Source organism: Homo sapiens, chromosome 11, assembly GCF_000001405.40.
Source record: "Homo sapiens chromosome 11, GRCh38.p14 Primary Assembly".
Taxonomy (NCBI): domain Eukaryota; kingdom Metazoa; phylum Chordata; class Mammalia; order Primates; family Hominidae; genus Homo; species Homo sapiens.
Window position 1 is genome coordinate 19,765,563 of NC_000011.10, and position 15,155 is coordinate 19,780,717.

The 15,155-nt window shown below is 47.6% G+C and overlaps 1 protein-coding gene across 45 annotated transcripts in view, besides 3 other annotated features; it reads left to right on the forward strand.

The window, feature by feature from the left end:
- NAV2 (neuron navigator 2) overlaps window positions 1-15,155 on the forward strand; it is a 776,366-nt gene that overhangs the window by 420,327 nt on the left and 340,884 nt on the right. For 7 of the 45 annotated variants that reach the window (XM_006718366.5, XM_047427822.1, XM_047427829.1 and 4 more), the window contains exon 1: window positions 11,858-11,955. The exons of the other annotated variants lie outside the window; for them this stretch is intronic. In XM_006718366.5, the coding sequence (XP_006718429.1) occupies window positions 11,905-11,955 (51 nt within the window). In that variant the 5' untranslated portion in view covers window positions 11,858-11,904. Of the gene's footprint in view, window positions 1-11,857; window positions 11,956-15,155 lie in introns of those variants that run through there. 45 annotated transcript variants of the gene reach the window in all.
- Window positions 6,595-7,102: an enhancer, noted in NCBI's record as "OCT4-NANOG-H3K27ac hESC enhancer chr11:19793703-19794210 (GRCh37/hg19 assembly coordinates)". NCBI's record gives its function as "activates a minimal SCP1, AML or CMV promoter by ChIP-STARR-seq in naive and primed H9 embryonic stem cells {active_cell/tissue: H9 hESC(naive and primed)}" and the evidence as "EXISTENCE:reporter gene assay evidence [ECO:0000049][PMID:30033119]".
- Window positions 7,103-7,611: an enhancer, noted in NCBI's record as "OCT4-NANOG-H3K27ac hESC enhancer chr11:19794211-19794719 (GRCh37/hg19 assembly coordinates)". NCBI's record gives its function as "activates a minimal SCP1, AML or CMV promoter by ChIP-STARR-seq in naive and primed H9 embryonic stem cells {active_cell/tissue: H9 hESC(naive and primed)}" and the evidence as "EXISTENCE:reporter gene assay evidence [ECO:0000049][PMID:30033119]".
- Window positions 11,671-11,820: a silencer, noted in NCBI's record as "silent region_3201". NCBI's record gives its function as "represses an Ori minimal core promoter by ATAC-STARR-seq in GM12878 lymphoblastoid cells {active_cell/tissue: GM12878}" and the evidence as "EXISTENCE:reporter gene assay evidence [ECO:0000049][PMID:35858748]".

Genomic DNA, 15,155 nt, shown 5'->3' on the forward strand with positions numbered 1-15,155 from the left:
TGGATCTGGCCCCTGGGTGGCAGTTTGCTGACTCTTGCTCTATACAAGCTGGCCTGACCCTTCTCTCCTGCTCACATCTTCTTGCCCACTGCCTTGCTCACTGTGCTCTAGCCTCAGTAGCTTGCTGGCTGTTTGGGGGCACACTGGTCACATTCTGCTCAGGGCTTGCACACTCCTGTTCCCTCTCCCCGCAACATTGCCCCTTCAGGTCTTCCATGTGGCTTGCTTCCTGCCTTTGTTTAAGCCTCTGCTTGCAGAAGCTCTCCTTGGAGAAGCCTCTCTGAGCAGCCCCTCCAAAATGCTCTCCCCACTCCACCCCAAGGACATGCTATCCCTCAGTGGCTTCTCTCTCTAGGACTTACTATATCTTCACTTGCTTGTTTGTCACTAATGCCAGCCTAGCATCAGCTCTTCCAGGGCAGGTGCCAGCTTTGTCTGTCTCATTCCTCACTCTCCCTCCCTATCACCCAGAATAGAACCTGGCACTTAGTGGTCAATCAGAAAAAATATTTGCTGGATACATTAATAAATATATCCATATAAGGACAATTTTTTAATTATATAATATATAATTAATACATATAAGGACAATTCTGCCATGTGGCCAGCTGGTTTTCAACCCCTGTAGTACTACTCATTTGCAACAAGGCCCTCTTTTTAAATCCTCAGCCCGGTTGGCTCTGTGTAATGCAAAGAGGAATCGGATGAAGGTGCCAAGCAGTGCTTGGGGTGGCTGTGGACTGTGAGAGGCCAGTTCCATGTGCTGTCATGGTCTGAAGGGTGAATCCAAGTGTGAACATGGTGATGGGGGTAGAGGAGAGCTTAGCCAGGCTTTGATGTGAGGGGAACTGTCCAGCTCTCAGGAAGCTGATGTCATTAGAGCATCCCTGGACAATAAGTGCTGAGTGGAGCCAGTGCTGATGTCTCTTAAGGAGGGAGTGAAGTAGCTCTCAGAGCCAGAAGAGTGCCGAGATAAACTGTCCTTCCCAGAAACACACAGCTGAGCCAACCTGCAAACCAAGTTGGTGTGGATGGGGGCTGGATGGTGCTTATCAGTCCTGGATGGATCATGGTGTGAAAAGCTGGTAGTTCTGGAGCCACTTTATGGAGCATGGTGCCTCTCAGCTCCAGATGTGAAGCCTCCTACTCCTGGGATCTCCTTCTATAGGCCACTTGGGAATGGCAACTAGAGGGAAGCATCTGGAGCAGCCAGCTATACCCTCCTTCCACCTCCTTCTCCCACCCTGATTTGCTATAGTCCAGAGGCCTCAGGAGAAATGAGCTTGGATTTGGGTCATTGAAAAAGAGAGCCTAGGCCCCTTCCTAGGGCAATCATAAAAGGCCCCTTGGGGGGTGGACTGCAGGGGATGATCCTGTGGAAGGCTCCAGGAGGACTTGGTACCCTACACCCTTGAGTTTTGGCTCATAGTCAGACGATGAGTCTTGGCTGAACCTGATGCCCCAGGATGGGATGGACTGGGTAGTGAGCCAGGCTATAAACTGACTCATGCACCAGGCAGGGACTGGACCATCCTTGGCCCAGGAACCAGGTCAGGGAATGAAAAGATACAAGAATCTCTTCTTTGGACTTCCCCTAGGATAGAAACTGGGGTGTATAGATCAGGGTAGCCTGTACATATCCACATTTGGGAATTTTATGTCCTAGATCATGAGAGTAGCTCTTGATTGTAGTAAATAAGACAGCTGCATAACAGGAGGGAAAATGCAGTGATAGTACATGTCAAACTTCATCACAGCCCTGTCTCAGGAGCCCAAGGCAGGAGGTCAGATGGTCTGGGATCTAATCATGGGTCTAGACTGTGACCTTGAACCAGGCATTTCACCTTTCTGGGCTTTAGTGTTTTCTCCTACACAATTATAATGGTAAACCTTGATGTTGTCACCTCACTGAATTATTAGGATCAAATGAGAGAATAATGAAAGTCCTTGCAAAGTTAAAAATGCTCTAGCCATGTATAACTTGATCCCTAGTCAAGTTGTATAAAGCAATAATACCAATAGGAACAATAAACTTTCAATGAGCACTGATCATGTGACAGGCACTGTGCCCAGTGTTCGCATGCATATCTCACATGGTCCCCACAGCAATCTTGAGAGACAGGCATCATTATAATCTGCATGTGCAGATGAGCGAGCAGGGCATGAAAAATTTAAATAATTTGCCCCAAGTCACATATTTTCCAGGGAAGACCAGAACTTGAATTCAAGCAGCTTGTCTCTGAAGGATGCACTCAGACCCTGAGGGCCTGCAGTGCAGATCTCCAGGCTCCCAGCCCAGCCCCCTAGGCTTCCTTCAGGAAGATAACCATGAGTCTGTCCAGTGAAAACAGACCCATGTCTATCTCTTCCCTGCAGACGGGCTTGATCCCTGCCAACTGCAGAGAAGCTGCAGAGCCTGAGCAGAGCCTGATGTTTACCAGCTCTAAGAGCTAAGGGTTCCAGCTGGGACAGCAAATCCTCAGCAATCCTGGGAAACAGGGAGTGATGCCAGGGCACAGGGTCTCCTCCAGGTTATGAAGAGCAGACACATGTGGTTGGAACTTCTTCATCCGGGATGGGCGTCCTGCACGCACGTTGAGTGGCTCTCAGGAAAACATTTCCTTGAGAAAGCAGAGGCAGGGAGGCAATCTCTGAAGGGCAGGCTGTTTTTTTCCATGTTCTCATCGGGAAGGAGAGAAGAAAAAGCAGTCAGCACTTCCTCTCTGCAGCCCTTCCTCTGGGGGCTTCTCATCCCCCTTCACAGCAGCAGAGCCCCATGGTGCAGTTTGCTGTGCTTGCCTAATATCAGTCAGCGAAGTAGAGTTTGATGAGTTCAGTCAACAAAAAGTAGCCGATAAGGGCTTCTGGGCACCCCTCCGAGAATGCCTGAGGAGCCTTTTCAAGGATGGACTGGTATGGCAAAAGGACGGAAAAGAGGTAGAAGAAGTATTGAAAGAACCGTGGCCTTTGTCCTGGCCTAGAGAAGATTTGGGAAGCCTTGGCACTTGTTCTCAAATATCCAAAGGGCTGTCTTGAGGCAGGCTAGTTCTATGTGGACTCCATGGGGTGGAGGAGGGATGGCAGGGACTAGTCTAAGGAAATACGCAGAAAGGCACAGAAGCTTAGGTTCCAGGCTATGCAGTCTGACAGGCCTGCGTTGCAATTCCAGCCACACTATTTATAAGCTGTGTGACAATTAGCAATTTGCTTAACACTTGTGTACCTCCATTGTACTGTAAAATGCCAGTGGTACCATATTCAAAGGTTTATTGTGAGGACTGAAGATGGTGATTTATATAAAGCACTTAGATAGTGCCTAGGACTTTTGCTAATAATAACATTATTGTGTAAAGTCCACTTGTCTTGAGAACCTATGAGGAGGGTATTTGGATAGGAGCTAATAGGTCTAAGGCCTAGTGTGAACCTCTCATTAGGCAGCTGTGCAGCTTTGGACAGCTCATTCAACCTCTTTGTGCTTCAGTGTCCTTCTCAGGAAAATGGGACCATGCCAGCCATTCAGCTTAGTTCACAGAGCAGTTCTAAGAATAACTGCCAGGATAACTGATGTGAGAGTGTTTTTGAAAAATATAAAACCAGGTTATCATGAGTTCTTGATGTTGGCATTTCACTGGAATATGACCAGGAAGGAAGCTGTGGAAAGGAATTGAGTTTGCTCTGGAGGACCTCCGTACTGGTTCTGCTCTACAATCTGAGAAATGCCCAGAACAGCTGAGGCCAATCAACAGCAGCAGTAATTATGACCAATGCAATGTCATGGACCTGCGCAGAAGCCAAAAGCAAGTCATTAGCAGCACTTGAAGTTTTCCTTTGCTAAACAATGGCACCTTCATTTTGGGAGTTCCCAGGTTGTCCTCTCTGGACTTTTGGATAGAGGGTGATTGCAGATACACTCTGTTTCTGCTGGTGCACCTGTTTCCTCCCTCAACTCATGTTTGTGGACCAGACCCAGAGTGCCAGCATCCACCCCGACCCCAGTGGTGCTCACTGGAGGCACCCTCTCCTGGGCTGGGTGAAGGAGGAAGCCCTGGAGTAGATTGTGTCCACCGTTGTGTATGTGTGCTTGCAAACAACCATGTCCTGGGAGGATTAAGATCCCTAACAAAAATGGAGTTAGTTTACCTACTGTTTTTGTTCTAAGGGAAAGGTTTCCCAAGCCTCCCATCAGGTAATAATTTTTTAACCCACTTCAAGGCTATTTGTTTTCCTTTAATTGTTCAATCGGGTAACTTTTAGCAACCACATTCCCTACAGCAAAAGGGTTATTAGGGAGGCACTCAGTTCCTCAATAGTTCCCAGGAAACATAGACCACAGCCCTTTGGGAAAGACACTGCTTCTTAAATTGCTAACCTTAATCCCTAGTGACCAGAACTGGCCAAGAATGAAAGGGCTGATCCCACAGGGAAAATAAAATAAACAAAACCACACCAACCCTCACCCCCACCAAACCACAACCACCGAAAACAAAACAAAACAAAAAACCAACAGACAAATGCAACCCAGTGAGAGTTTGAGGGCAACTCCTTTCTAAACTGTTTCTCTGAATCATTCAAATACAAAACCAGAACAGAGGGCAAAAGTTAGAAGCCATTGAACTTTTAAAAGTGCTTCAACAATAGCTATCCATATTTCTGTGCCCACAGTTCTGTGGCAGGAATTTTTTTTAAGTTTAAAAAAATATTTTTTTTTTCACCTTAATGAACCCCTAGCCCACCTGAGTAGACTAGATATGCCTAAAATGAGTCTTTAAGGCACTTCCCAAAATGGCCACAGGTCCCCATGCCCTGACCCTAGAGGTGCAGCTCCTGGGAGGGTGGGAGGAGGGAGGACCAGCAGCACGGAGGCCCTTAAAAGGGGGTCAGAGGTCTCCCAAAGATTGCACAATTTCAACCCTTATCTGCTGCATTGAGGTGGTGGGTGGGGAGGGGGCTGGAGAAGGAGTCCTCAGGCCCCGGATGTTGAACAGAGCAAATAAATTCCAGAGGCACCTGGCAACCCTTGGATTCATGGGAATAGCATGTCTGCTCTTGGGATATATGCCCTGGGTTGCTTGGGACCAGTTTGTCTGCTTGAATAAGTAAAAAACCACTTACCCTGGAGCTTTCAAATTAGTCTTCAATTATTCATTCATTCATCCTGAAACTTATTTTTTACCCTGAACGCCTTCTATGTTTCGAGCGTTTTGAGGGCTATAGAGAGAAATGACACGTAATCTTCACTCTCCAAAAGCTCTCCTTCTGGTAATACTTAAAAGAAAATGTCAAGTACATATCCAGATTCCCAGCAAACAAGTGAATCTTTAGCCTGGTGAGGGCATCATGAATTTCTGATTTCTTCGTGAGGTCTCACTCAAGATGCCTGTATGCCTAGTATTTTTGGCTTCCCGTTTCAGTGCAGTTTATATTCATTACATTTTTGATGGTACAGTGGAAAGGGGTCTATCTAGGGGACTCAGATTCTTCTGGAAAATTAGGGAGTAGGATGGGATGATCTTTAAATTCCCTATAGCCCTGACACTGAATCTGTCAATTCTATTTAATTATACCAATGATAAGCCCAGTACTATTCTGAGTACACAAAGATGAATAAGATAGAGTATCTGTTCCTAAGCAACTTATAATCCAGTTGTAATAATATTAATGTCATTGCTTACATCCATAACAACAAATGAAATGCACCTCTCTCCTACTATAAGAGGAGTTGTACTGTTTTAAAGGCCGTAGAGGAGATAGAAACAAAGTACTAAGAGCATTTACATACTTCTGATGAGTGGAAAGGATCCGAGAATTCACCAGCAGTTAGTTTTGCTCTGAGTCTTGAAAGATCAACGTGATATCAATTGGTAGAGAATGGAAGGAAAAACCTTCCATGCTGAGGGAACAGCCTGAGCAAAGGCATGGAGGTGTGACCATACATGACCTACTCCAGAGGAGTAGGCAGCCCACAGGGACATTGGGAGGGGTGATAGGAGACACTACTCTACCCAGAAATTCTTGACCCTCATCTGACCCCCCCCATTAGAAGGAAGAAAGTATCTGAGTTGTCGGGGGAGCCAGGAAGTGACAAATTAAACCCTGTCAAGGGAACATACTAAATGCAGTGGCATTTAGTATGCGCAATGGGGAGATCCCTTTACATAATTCTTTATCTCAAGAAAAAAGAAAAGGGAAGAGAGGAAGGAGAGAAATCCTTTGCTAGCCCAACCCAGCCCTTTCTGGGGGCGTATTCATTCATTCATTCATTCGTAGGCTTGTCAGTGTGACATTGTGTTTGCCCTCCTGAAAGCCATACATCTTACTTTCAAAACCTCCAACAGCCTTCAACCCCCTGCAGACCCCAGTGTTCCAAGGCTGACCTTTTGGTAGGAGGCTTACTCCCCTCCAAGGCTGGTGGAGGGGAGACGGCACCTCTTGTGCTCAGGCCTTCCTTGTCGCTGGCTTGTGGACAGGAGTCCTTTCTTCTCTAGGAAGGATTAGTGCTTTTCTTAAATTCGACTCTGAAGTTCTGAAAAGCCTACCAACTGTGTACTTCCACAAGCTTTTTATTTTAATTTTTATACATCTTCTTCCTTTCTTTCCAAGGTCTCTGGGTACCCCCAGAGAAGGAAAGAGACTAAGTCTTTAAGCTACTTGCAAAAATGTCTGCACACAGTTTGCCTTCATGATCCTAGAGATGGCATTTCTGGGGTTTCATTTCCTGCATGTAATATGACAGTAATGCAGACAACTGCAGAAATAGGGGACCAGGCAGGGAGGCCTGAGTTTTACTCCTGTTTGGTGGCTTTCAAGTCAGATGAAGAGGATCAATCACTCTCCATCTCTGAGCCTTTCTCTGCAAAATAGCAAAAAGGATCCTTTTCAGTATTGCTGTGATGAGGTATTTTCAGTATTGCTGTGAAAGGTGTCCAGTACCATGCTCAATAAATAGCCACTACTATGGCTAGGGTTTTCATGCGGCAGGCAATGTGAAGCTCTTCTGTGGTATTTTTATATTCAAGCCCAGCTATTTGGAGGCAAAATGGGCTCCCTCTGACAAGCTATCTAGCTCATTCCCTCCTCCCCATGGGGTGCCACAGTGCTTCTGATCCTTCTTTTGTCATTTTAAGACCATGTAAAAGCTGACATCCCCCCATCAGCCTTGCCTCATGTGTGGGTGGAGAGGCGTCAGCCCACATCATGCATGGGAGCAGTCTAGAGAGCCTACTTTGTCTGAAGTTCCCCTGGCCGGCCCCCACCGTGTCTGAGCTTTTTCCCATTAGTCATTGCTTTGGCTGAAAGAGTGGAAGACCCCTGTTAAACTGAAATATGTTATCTGGGAAATACATTAAGCCATTAACAGCTGGACACAAATTAGTTTATCAGACAGAGGCTGGGCTTGCAGAATTTAGGAGTGAGAAGGAACTTTATAGATCATCAGTTTCTTAGTGAAGAAAAGAAGGTCCACTGATGAGTAGCTCTTGCTCAAGGAAACACCAGTGGCACCTTTTGGGATGCCAGGCCTCAACCCTGCCTCCTGGCCTGAACCCCTCTTCATTCCACCTTGATGAGCAAGATGGACAGTCCAACTTTCATTCAGGAGATATTTATCATGTGGCTGCCATAGCTGGGCAGGTGCTGAAAATTCAGAGAAGCATGGGAGGCAGACATGGGAGTGTTGAGTGATTGAACGATGTGGGACAGGTCTCTTGTATGGTGGGACGGGAAAGGTCTGGAACAGAGGACACCACTCAGTGAAAGGCAGATCCAGACTCTGAGGGGTCAGCCCCACCAGGGGCTCCACAGTACCAGAACACTGGGACCCTACCTCGTGGCTACCATGAGAGTTCAAGAATGGTCATGCTCAGGGAGATAGGCTAAGCTGGCAGTCAGGGCCAGGGGATGGGTCAGAAAGCCATGAGCTGAAAAAAGAGGACAACAGCTGGAAGGCACCAGACCACACTTCAGGGCAGACCTTCATAAGCATTGTTCCATGTGGTCAACACAGACTGATCTCTTTCCGCTACTTCACATCAAAGGTCTTGGTGGAAGATTATGGAAATAGGAGGAAGGAGAAAGGTGGTAGGAGGGGTTTGGTGGATGAGGAGGTTGTGAGAAGCCACTTCTGTCTCTGCAAATCTACAGGGTCCTGACACCTGTGAACTCACAGCCATTACCCTTTGGAACCATCTGTACCATCATGCTGGTGATATCAGGCATCTCTTCCACTCACCTCTTCTTGCTTGGGTCCTCATACCCATCCCCTGCATGATTTCAACAGACATCTAATTGGTCTCCCTTCCTCCAGTCTCTACCTTTTTAAAGCTATCTTCTTGCTGTTACTAGGTCTTCTTAAAATGGGAGCTTGGACAAATCATTCCCCTATTTATAAGAATTAAGAATAGAGTGTCCTTTACAGCAATCTTGCTTGTCCCAGCCTACCAAATAACCCCATGTGATGTGAACACACAGAACCTGCCATGAACTTTCACCCCTCTACACCCTTGCACATGCTATTCCACCTTCCTGAGATGCTTCTCTCCTCTTGTCAAACCTGCCAGAAGCAGGTCAGCATCACCTCTGTGAAGTCCTTCCATGCTCCCCAGCCTTGTGCATTGTTCTTTTCTTTTTGCAGAGTTTGTGGAGGTCTTACTCTGTTGCCCAGGCTGGAGTACAGTGGAACCATCATAGCTCATTGCAGCCTTGAACTCCTGGGCACAAATGATCCTCCCACCTTAGCCTTCCAAGTAGCTGGGACTAAGGCATGCACAATCACACCTGGCTAATTTTTAAAATTTTATGTAGAGACAAGGTCTCACTATGTTGTTCAGTCTGGTCTTGAAATCCTAGACTCAAGCAATCCTCACACCTTGGCCTCCCAAAGTGCTAGGATTACAGGTGTGAGCTACCGCGCTCAGCCAGCTTTTTTCTTTATGACCCAGCTGTACACTATACAGGCCTCTTTTGTAGCACCTGTTGCATTACATTGCAACTGTTGGTGTATTTGTCCATTTTCTTACTAGACTGTGTGTGTGCATGGTAGGGACACACACATACACACAGAGAGAGACACATACCCCAGACAAGGAATCCTCCCTGATTCTCAACACCCTCGGCAAAGCTGGGTAAGTGCATCATGGTAGATGCTCAAGGAGTGTTTGCTAAATGAGCTAGAATACCTATGACCTAAGGTGTGTGAGATCTGAAGGGAAAGGTCACAGGCTTTATTCTCTTTAATTAAAGCTGAGGCAGGTACCTTCTGTATCTCCCTCCACACCTTCCCATCTCTCCTTGTACCATGAGTGGTATTTTTTCACCTTTTTCCAGCAAAGATTGGAAACTAGTTGCTCATTCAATGACTTTCTGCAGATGTATAGATCGTAAATGTTGTGGCTATCCTAGAAAGTATAATGAACCTAATGATGTTTTCCCAGAAAATGTATAAATCCCTGATCTTGCAGTATTTTCACACAATCAGGATTTTGGATTCTTTATCCAGCCACTCAACTCCAAGGAACTTTAGGCTTTAAAAAGCTGTGATAGAGATATCTTGTGTTTTGCTCTCTTAGCCAATAAGATTTGTCAAGCTTTATTTTTGGAAAAATTATTTTAGGATTTGTTTTCCAAATATATAAATATATTTTAATACAGAATATGCTTTTTCAAATGACACATGCTCTCTCATTTCTGATATGTTGTCCTAGCCTGTGCCCCTTCCCTTGAGACAGCAAATATTGCTGCCTCTGTTTCATTCTTCAGAAATGTGTGTAGAGATGTACATAGAAGGGCCTCTTGTAGTCATTCAGTCTAAGTTAGGGCCCGAGGCAGGATGTGGGATCTGCTGCCTGGGTCTGGCTCAGTCCTAGCTGTAGAGGAAGCTGCATGGACGGACACTAGGACAATCATCAACAGCCTTTCATTTGGGAAACATTTACTGAGCTCCCACTATGGGCCACACATTGTTCTGGGTACTGGGGAACAGTAGGGAAACAAAACAGACAAGGTTGTTGGAATTTGTAGTCTAGTGGGACAAGGCAGAAAAGAAACAAGAATACAGGTTAGCTAAGTTAACTCAGTAGGCAAAACAATGACGATGAGACAACAGTAATGGAGTGGAAGAGAGTGTGGGAACGAGAAGTTTCAACATTAGGAGTCAGAAGTCTCCCTGAAGAGGTGCCATTAGACATGAGACCATGGGCAAGTCTAGGGGGAAACAGTGCTCCGGGGAGTGGGACTATCACGTGCAAAGGTCCTGAGGTAGGAATGATTTGGATGTGTTTGAGAAAAAGAAAGCAGACCACTGTTGCTGCAACACAGCTGGCCAGAGGGTGGGAGACCAGGTTGCAGGTCATAGAAGAGAGCTGGGATTTTTAAACTCTGAAAGGAAATCAAGTCCTGAAAGGTTTAGGTAGGGTGACAAGTTGATCTAATTGCCATGTTTTAAAGATTAGAATGAAAAAGATTAGGACCAATTTTATCACCTTTCCTCATTATGAACAGTTTTGACTACGGAAATGAATATATAATAAAGCAATCCATGATTTCTCATTATAACTCTCTGCCAGTGGGGGAGAGCCAGGATTTCCATCCTAGGATGTCATGGCTGCCCAAATCAGAAACAAGTTCCGAGGTCTGGGTGGCTAGTGCCATCTTTCCTTGGGGAGCTGAAGGATTCTTGAGCCTTTTCAGGATACCGAAAGTTGCTGGGGACCCCTGGAGGGTCACTGCCAGATGAGAGGATGCTGGACCTAGGACAAGGGTTGGGCAGGAAGGTGGGGAGGTCCCCAGTCCTCAAAGGAAGGCACCCGGGGCCTGTGGCAGGTGGAGCAGGCAGACGAGGAAATAAAGGCCACAGGCTGCCTCCTCTGTCGCTGCCTGACCTCTCCTCCTCTCCAGAGGGCCTTGAATGGCCTTTCTCCAGCAGCGGCCAGGCAAGGTGTGTTTGGAAATACCCAAACTCTGTCCTTCACGTGGCAGGAAATAAATATTGCTGGGAACGCAGCGTGTGGGCTGGGGCAGGGGTGTGTGTGTGTGTGTGTGTGTGTGTGTGTGGTTAGAGTTGTGGGGGTCAGAAAATGTGTGTGTGTGTGTGTGTGTGTGTGTGTGTGTGTGTGTGTGTGGTTAGAGTTGTGGGGGTCAGAAATGCATCCATCCTGCAGCCATAGTTCCAACTGCTCCAGGGGGAGGCGGCTCTGTCAACTTGCGTGAGTTCTGTGCAGAAAGAAAATGCGGATGGAGATGAGTGCGCATAGTGAGGCGCCGGCTGGTGTCTGAGCTAAGAACCCATGGGGACCCGGGAGCCATGAACTGCGCTCCACAGCCCCTTCCCCCGGCCTCACCCCTACCCATCTTCTGCCCAAGGCTCTCCCTACTACCCACGCCCTCCCCGAAATAGTTAAGTATCCTCCCACCAACTCCGACCATCTTTCCCCCTTCGCGCCCACCGGCGGCAGTGGCGAAGGGCCCACTGAAGCGCCGGGTGCCACGCGGGGCGGCCCGCGGGCCAGCTAGGGGGCGGGGAACTCACCAGCCGCCGACCCCCCCCCCCACCCCGCCCTCGGCCGCCGCGGCCCCAGCGGCCTCCGCGCTGCGAGGAGCGGGCGCTTGGACACAGGGCGAGTTGTTTGATTTGGCGGAGGCGGGGAGGCCGGCGGGGAGCGAGCGAGGGAGGCACGAGAGCTGGGCAGCGCGGGCGCCGGTCTCCAGGGTAGGGTCCCCGCGCGCAGCAGCGGCCCCGGGGCGGGGGCGAGGCGACCGCGGGCGCCGGGGATGCCTGGAGGGGCCGCGGCCGAGAGGAGACCCGGGACTGGACGGCCAGACCTGCCGGGCGCGCGGGCAGGTGCTTCGGCTTTTTTTTTTTTTCCCCTCCTCCTTTTTCCTCTGCCCCTTCCTTCCTCGCCCTGAAGTAAGATGAGCGTGATGCTGTGGCGCTGGGAACAGAATAACACCACCATGAAGCTGGTAAGGGTGGATTGCAGACCGCACCCCCTGGGCGCTGCTCTACTTTTTAACCCCCCACCCCGCCCCCCATCCCCTTTAGGAACTGGCCCGGGTGGTGGAAAGCCCCTGAAATGCATTCCGCACTTGGTATTTCCCTTATTGTTTTGAAGCTAGATCTCAGGGGAGGTGTGTGTGTTTAAACCAGGAAAGTCGATGTGTGTATGTCTCTGGTTGTGAGTCATTGAAGGGGGGTGGGACTGGGCTGCATTATCTCTCCGTCCCTTCCACCTACGAATTCCTGGAGCTCTCTTGGATTGCACACGCTGGGATTGTCTCCTACGAGCATGTCTGCGCCCTCACAGCCTGTCCCGGGACAGCGTGGTCCGCGTCCCCCGAGCCCCCATTGTGTCTTGATACTTTGGGGTGCACATGGCTATTGATCTCTACTGCGGTTTGGCTTGTCTGTGGGGAATACATGAGCCCCGAGTGAGTGAGTATGCACCGGGTCCTCCTCCCGCCTCTCACAATGGCTTAGTTCTCTTTCAAGCTTGCAAAGAACCATCCAGGGTGCAGGTACTTTTTCCCTCCTCCGTTTTCAAAAATAACCGCCTATCAGTCCCGGGAGAGCTGAGGATAGCAGGATTTTCCTTGCTGCCCAAAGAAGCCTGAGTTGTTTCTCCATCCCAAAGAGGAAATGTGATCGGAAATCTCTGGGTTTTGCTTTTGTGAATTGTTTTTTTATCGGATAGTTTCAACTGGCGGGGACCATAATTCCCCCATTAAAGTCAGCCAGTGCTGTGGCCAAGTCGGTTAACCCCCTTGGATGTTAGTTTCCTTCTCGGTAAAATGGAGCAAGTTCCCACCTTGTAGAACTAGTGCCAGGATAAGAAATCATATTTGTGGATTGCCTGGCATATAAAAAGGATTCAGTAAGAAATAGGTATGATTAATAAACTGGAATGCATACTTACTGGTGTGAGGTCTTTAAAGATGCTACCAAAAACAAAAACAAAAACAAAAACAAAACACAAAAAAAACAAAAAGAAAGAAAGAAAAGAAAGTCACAGCAGCTGCATTGGATACCAAGATGCTAAATCAACCAAAGCTGGGTCTTCATATAATGAACTTATTTGTTGGAAAAATGGCACCTTGCTTTTCATACTTCTTGTGTTATGTTTGGCCTGCCTAACTTTAAGCTACTATTTTACAACTTCATTTAATGTGCTGTAACATTAGCAGACGTTATGCACCTTTGCTATACTATGTCATGATTCCAGCTCCCTAATCCTTTCCTGGAATCTTTCTCCAACCAGACTGGTGTGGAAGAGGCCAGAGTTTCACATAATTTCTCTCCAAGCTGTACCTGAGATGCCACTCTAACAGGCAGCATAGGAAAGCTGGGTCCCGATCTGAACTGCATAGGGTCAGGTTGCCAAACCTAAATGCTTTTTTAAAAAGAAGAAAAAGAATGATTTGCCAGGCAGGGAAAACGTGGAGCCTCCCAGGGGATGGCTTCTGGAGCTTGGTGGCAGGTGGCCATGGTAAGGGCTGGGATGTCTTCTCCACTCCGATATTGCTGCCCGTTTAGTCTATGGAGGGAGCTTTCCTCAACAAGGGTCAGGGGTCAGCCTTTATTGGGTCTGCCTGAATCTTTAGAGCTGTCTCACTTTTCAAATTAACTGTGAGGACCACCCAAGGTAGTTATGGTCCACCAAAATACCCTTTCCCCATGAGGTGGAGGAAGGGCTAGGGGAGCTCAAGCAACTGGGAAGCCCTGAGGGAGTAGCAGTTTCTGTCCCGTGTATCCCACTGCCCCAGAGCCCAGGCAGGAAGAGGCATGACTGGGTCTTGGCGTCCAGATAGCCTCAGATATCCTCAGTGATGAGCCTCAGCTTTTCTGTGAATGCTAGAAACCACTGATACATCATTAGCTGAAGTATCATTAGTTTGCATTTTGTTCATTCACTTATTGATTGATCAATTTACCCTTTATTTGTTGTGTGTTTTGTGCAGAGCACAGCCTTGGTGCCTGTGTTCGTTGTGAAAGATTTTGCTTGCAGATGATTCTTGGTTTGAATTCCAGCCTTGCCACTTACTAATCCCTGAATCAGTTTTCCTCTTTTGTAAAAGGCTGTTTTACAACTCTCTTTCCCCAGGTTGTGAAAAGATGAAATGGCATAATACAGGAACATGATCCAGCATAGAGTTGGAAGCATGTTTGTCTGTTAAATGGGAACTATCATTATTTTCTTCAGTGGTAAATGAGACATAATCTGTCCCCACTCTACGTTGTACTGTTGGGTGAATGGTTGGTTCTTCTAATGGGCCCTGGGAAAACAAACCTTTCTTACCTTTGAATCATTAGTAGCCCTCAGCAGGAAGGAGCTCCCTGGGAACATCTTGGAAGTCAATTGTGTGTGAATAACTGCTCCAGAATGAGGCCTGGGGCCAGAGGTGTGTGCCCGAACTTTTATCACTGATGCACTTCAATAAACATGAAATCAGTTAACCCACAGCTTGAAAATGCATTGTTTTGTTTGAATAGTAGAATTAAAGGTCTTGCTTCATGTTCTATTTTAAGGCTAATTGGATCAAAAATAAGGCCCAGAGTAATTAGAGGCAAAACTTGCATCTTTATATGTTATCTCTGCAGGGGAATGTCAGAAATGCACCTGCCCACCTAGGAGAGAAGGCAGTAGCTGGTAGATCCTACATCTGTCCAAATCCCATCTGACAGGGTCACAGGCCTTTGATGAAAGTGAGAGGAGGTGACTGCCCAGGTCCAAAGCACCCACTGGGAGGGGATAAGCTTGGGGCACAGCCACAGAGCATACTGTGGGTGGTTCTGACATTCTTACCACCTTCCCTCCACACCCTAGTTCCCTTCTTTTAAATTCTTTGGACTTAGGCAGAGCAAGGAGAAACAATGAGGCCACTTATGGAGCAGCTGGTATTATTTGAGGAGTGGTAGAGTCCAAGAATGGCAAAAGGAAAGGCACTGAGAGAGGCCCCCTGGCAGCCTGTGCTAATGCACGGAGTGCAGGTAGTCCAGTCAGAAAGACCTGTAGCCAGAGCTCTGCACAGGAGCCACTGCCTTGTGACATGGGCCAGTTGCTTTACCTCTTCGATCTTTGGTTTTCTCATTGTAAATTGAGACTACAGCACCTCACAGAATTACAGTAAAAATTAGGGAAAAAAATGTATCCGGATTTGAGCTCAGC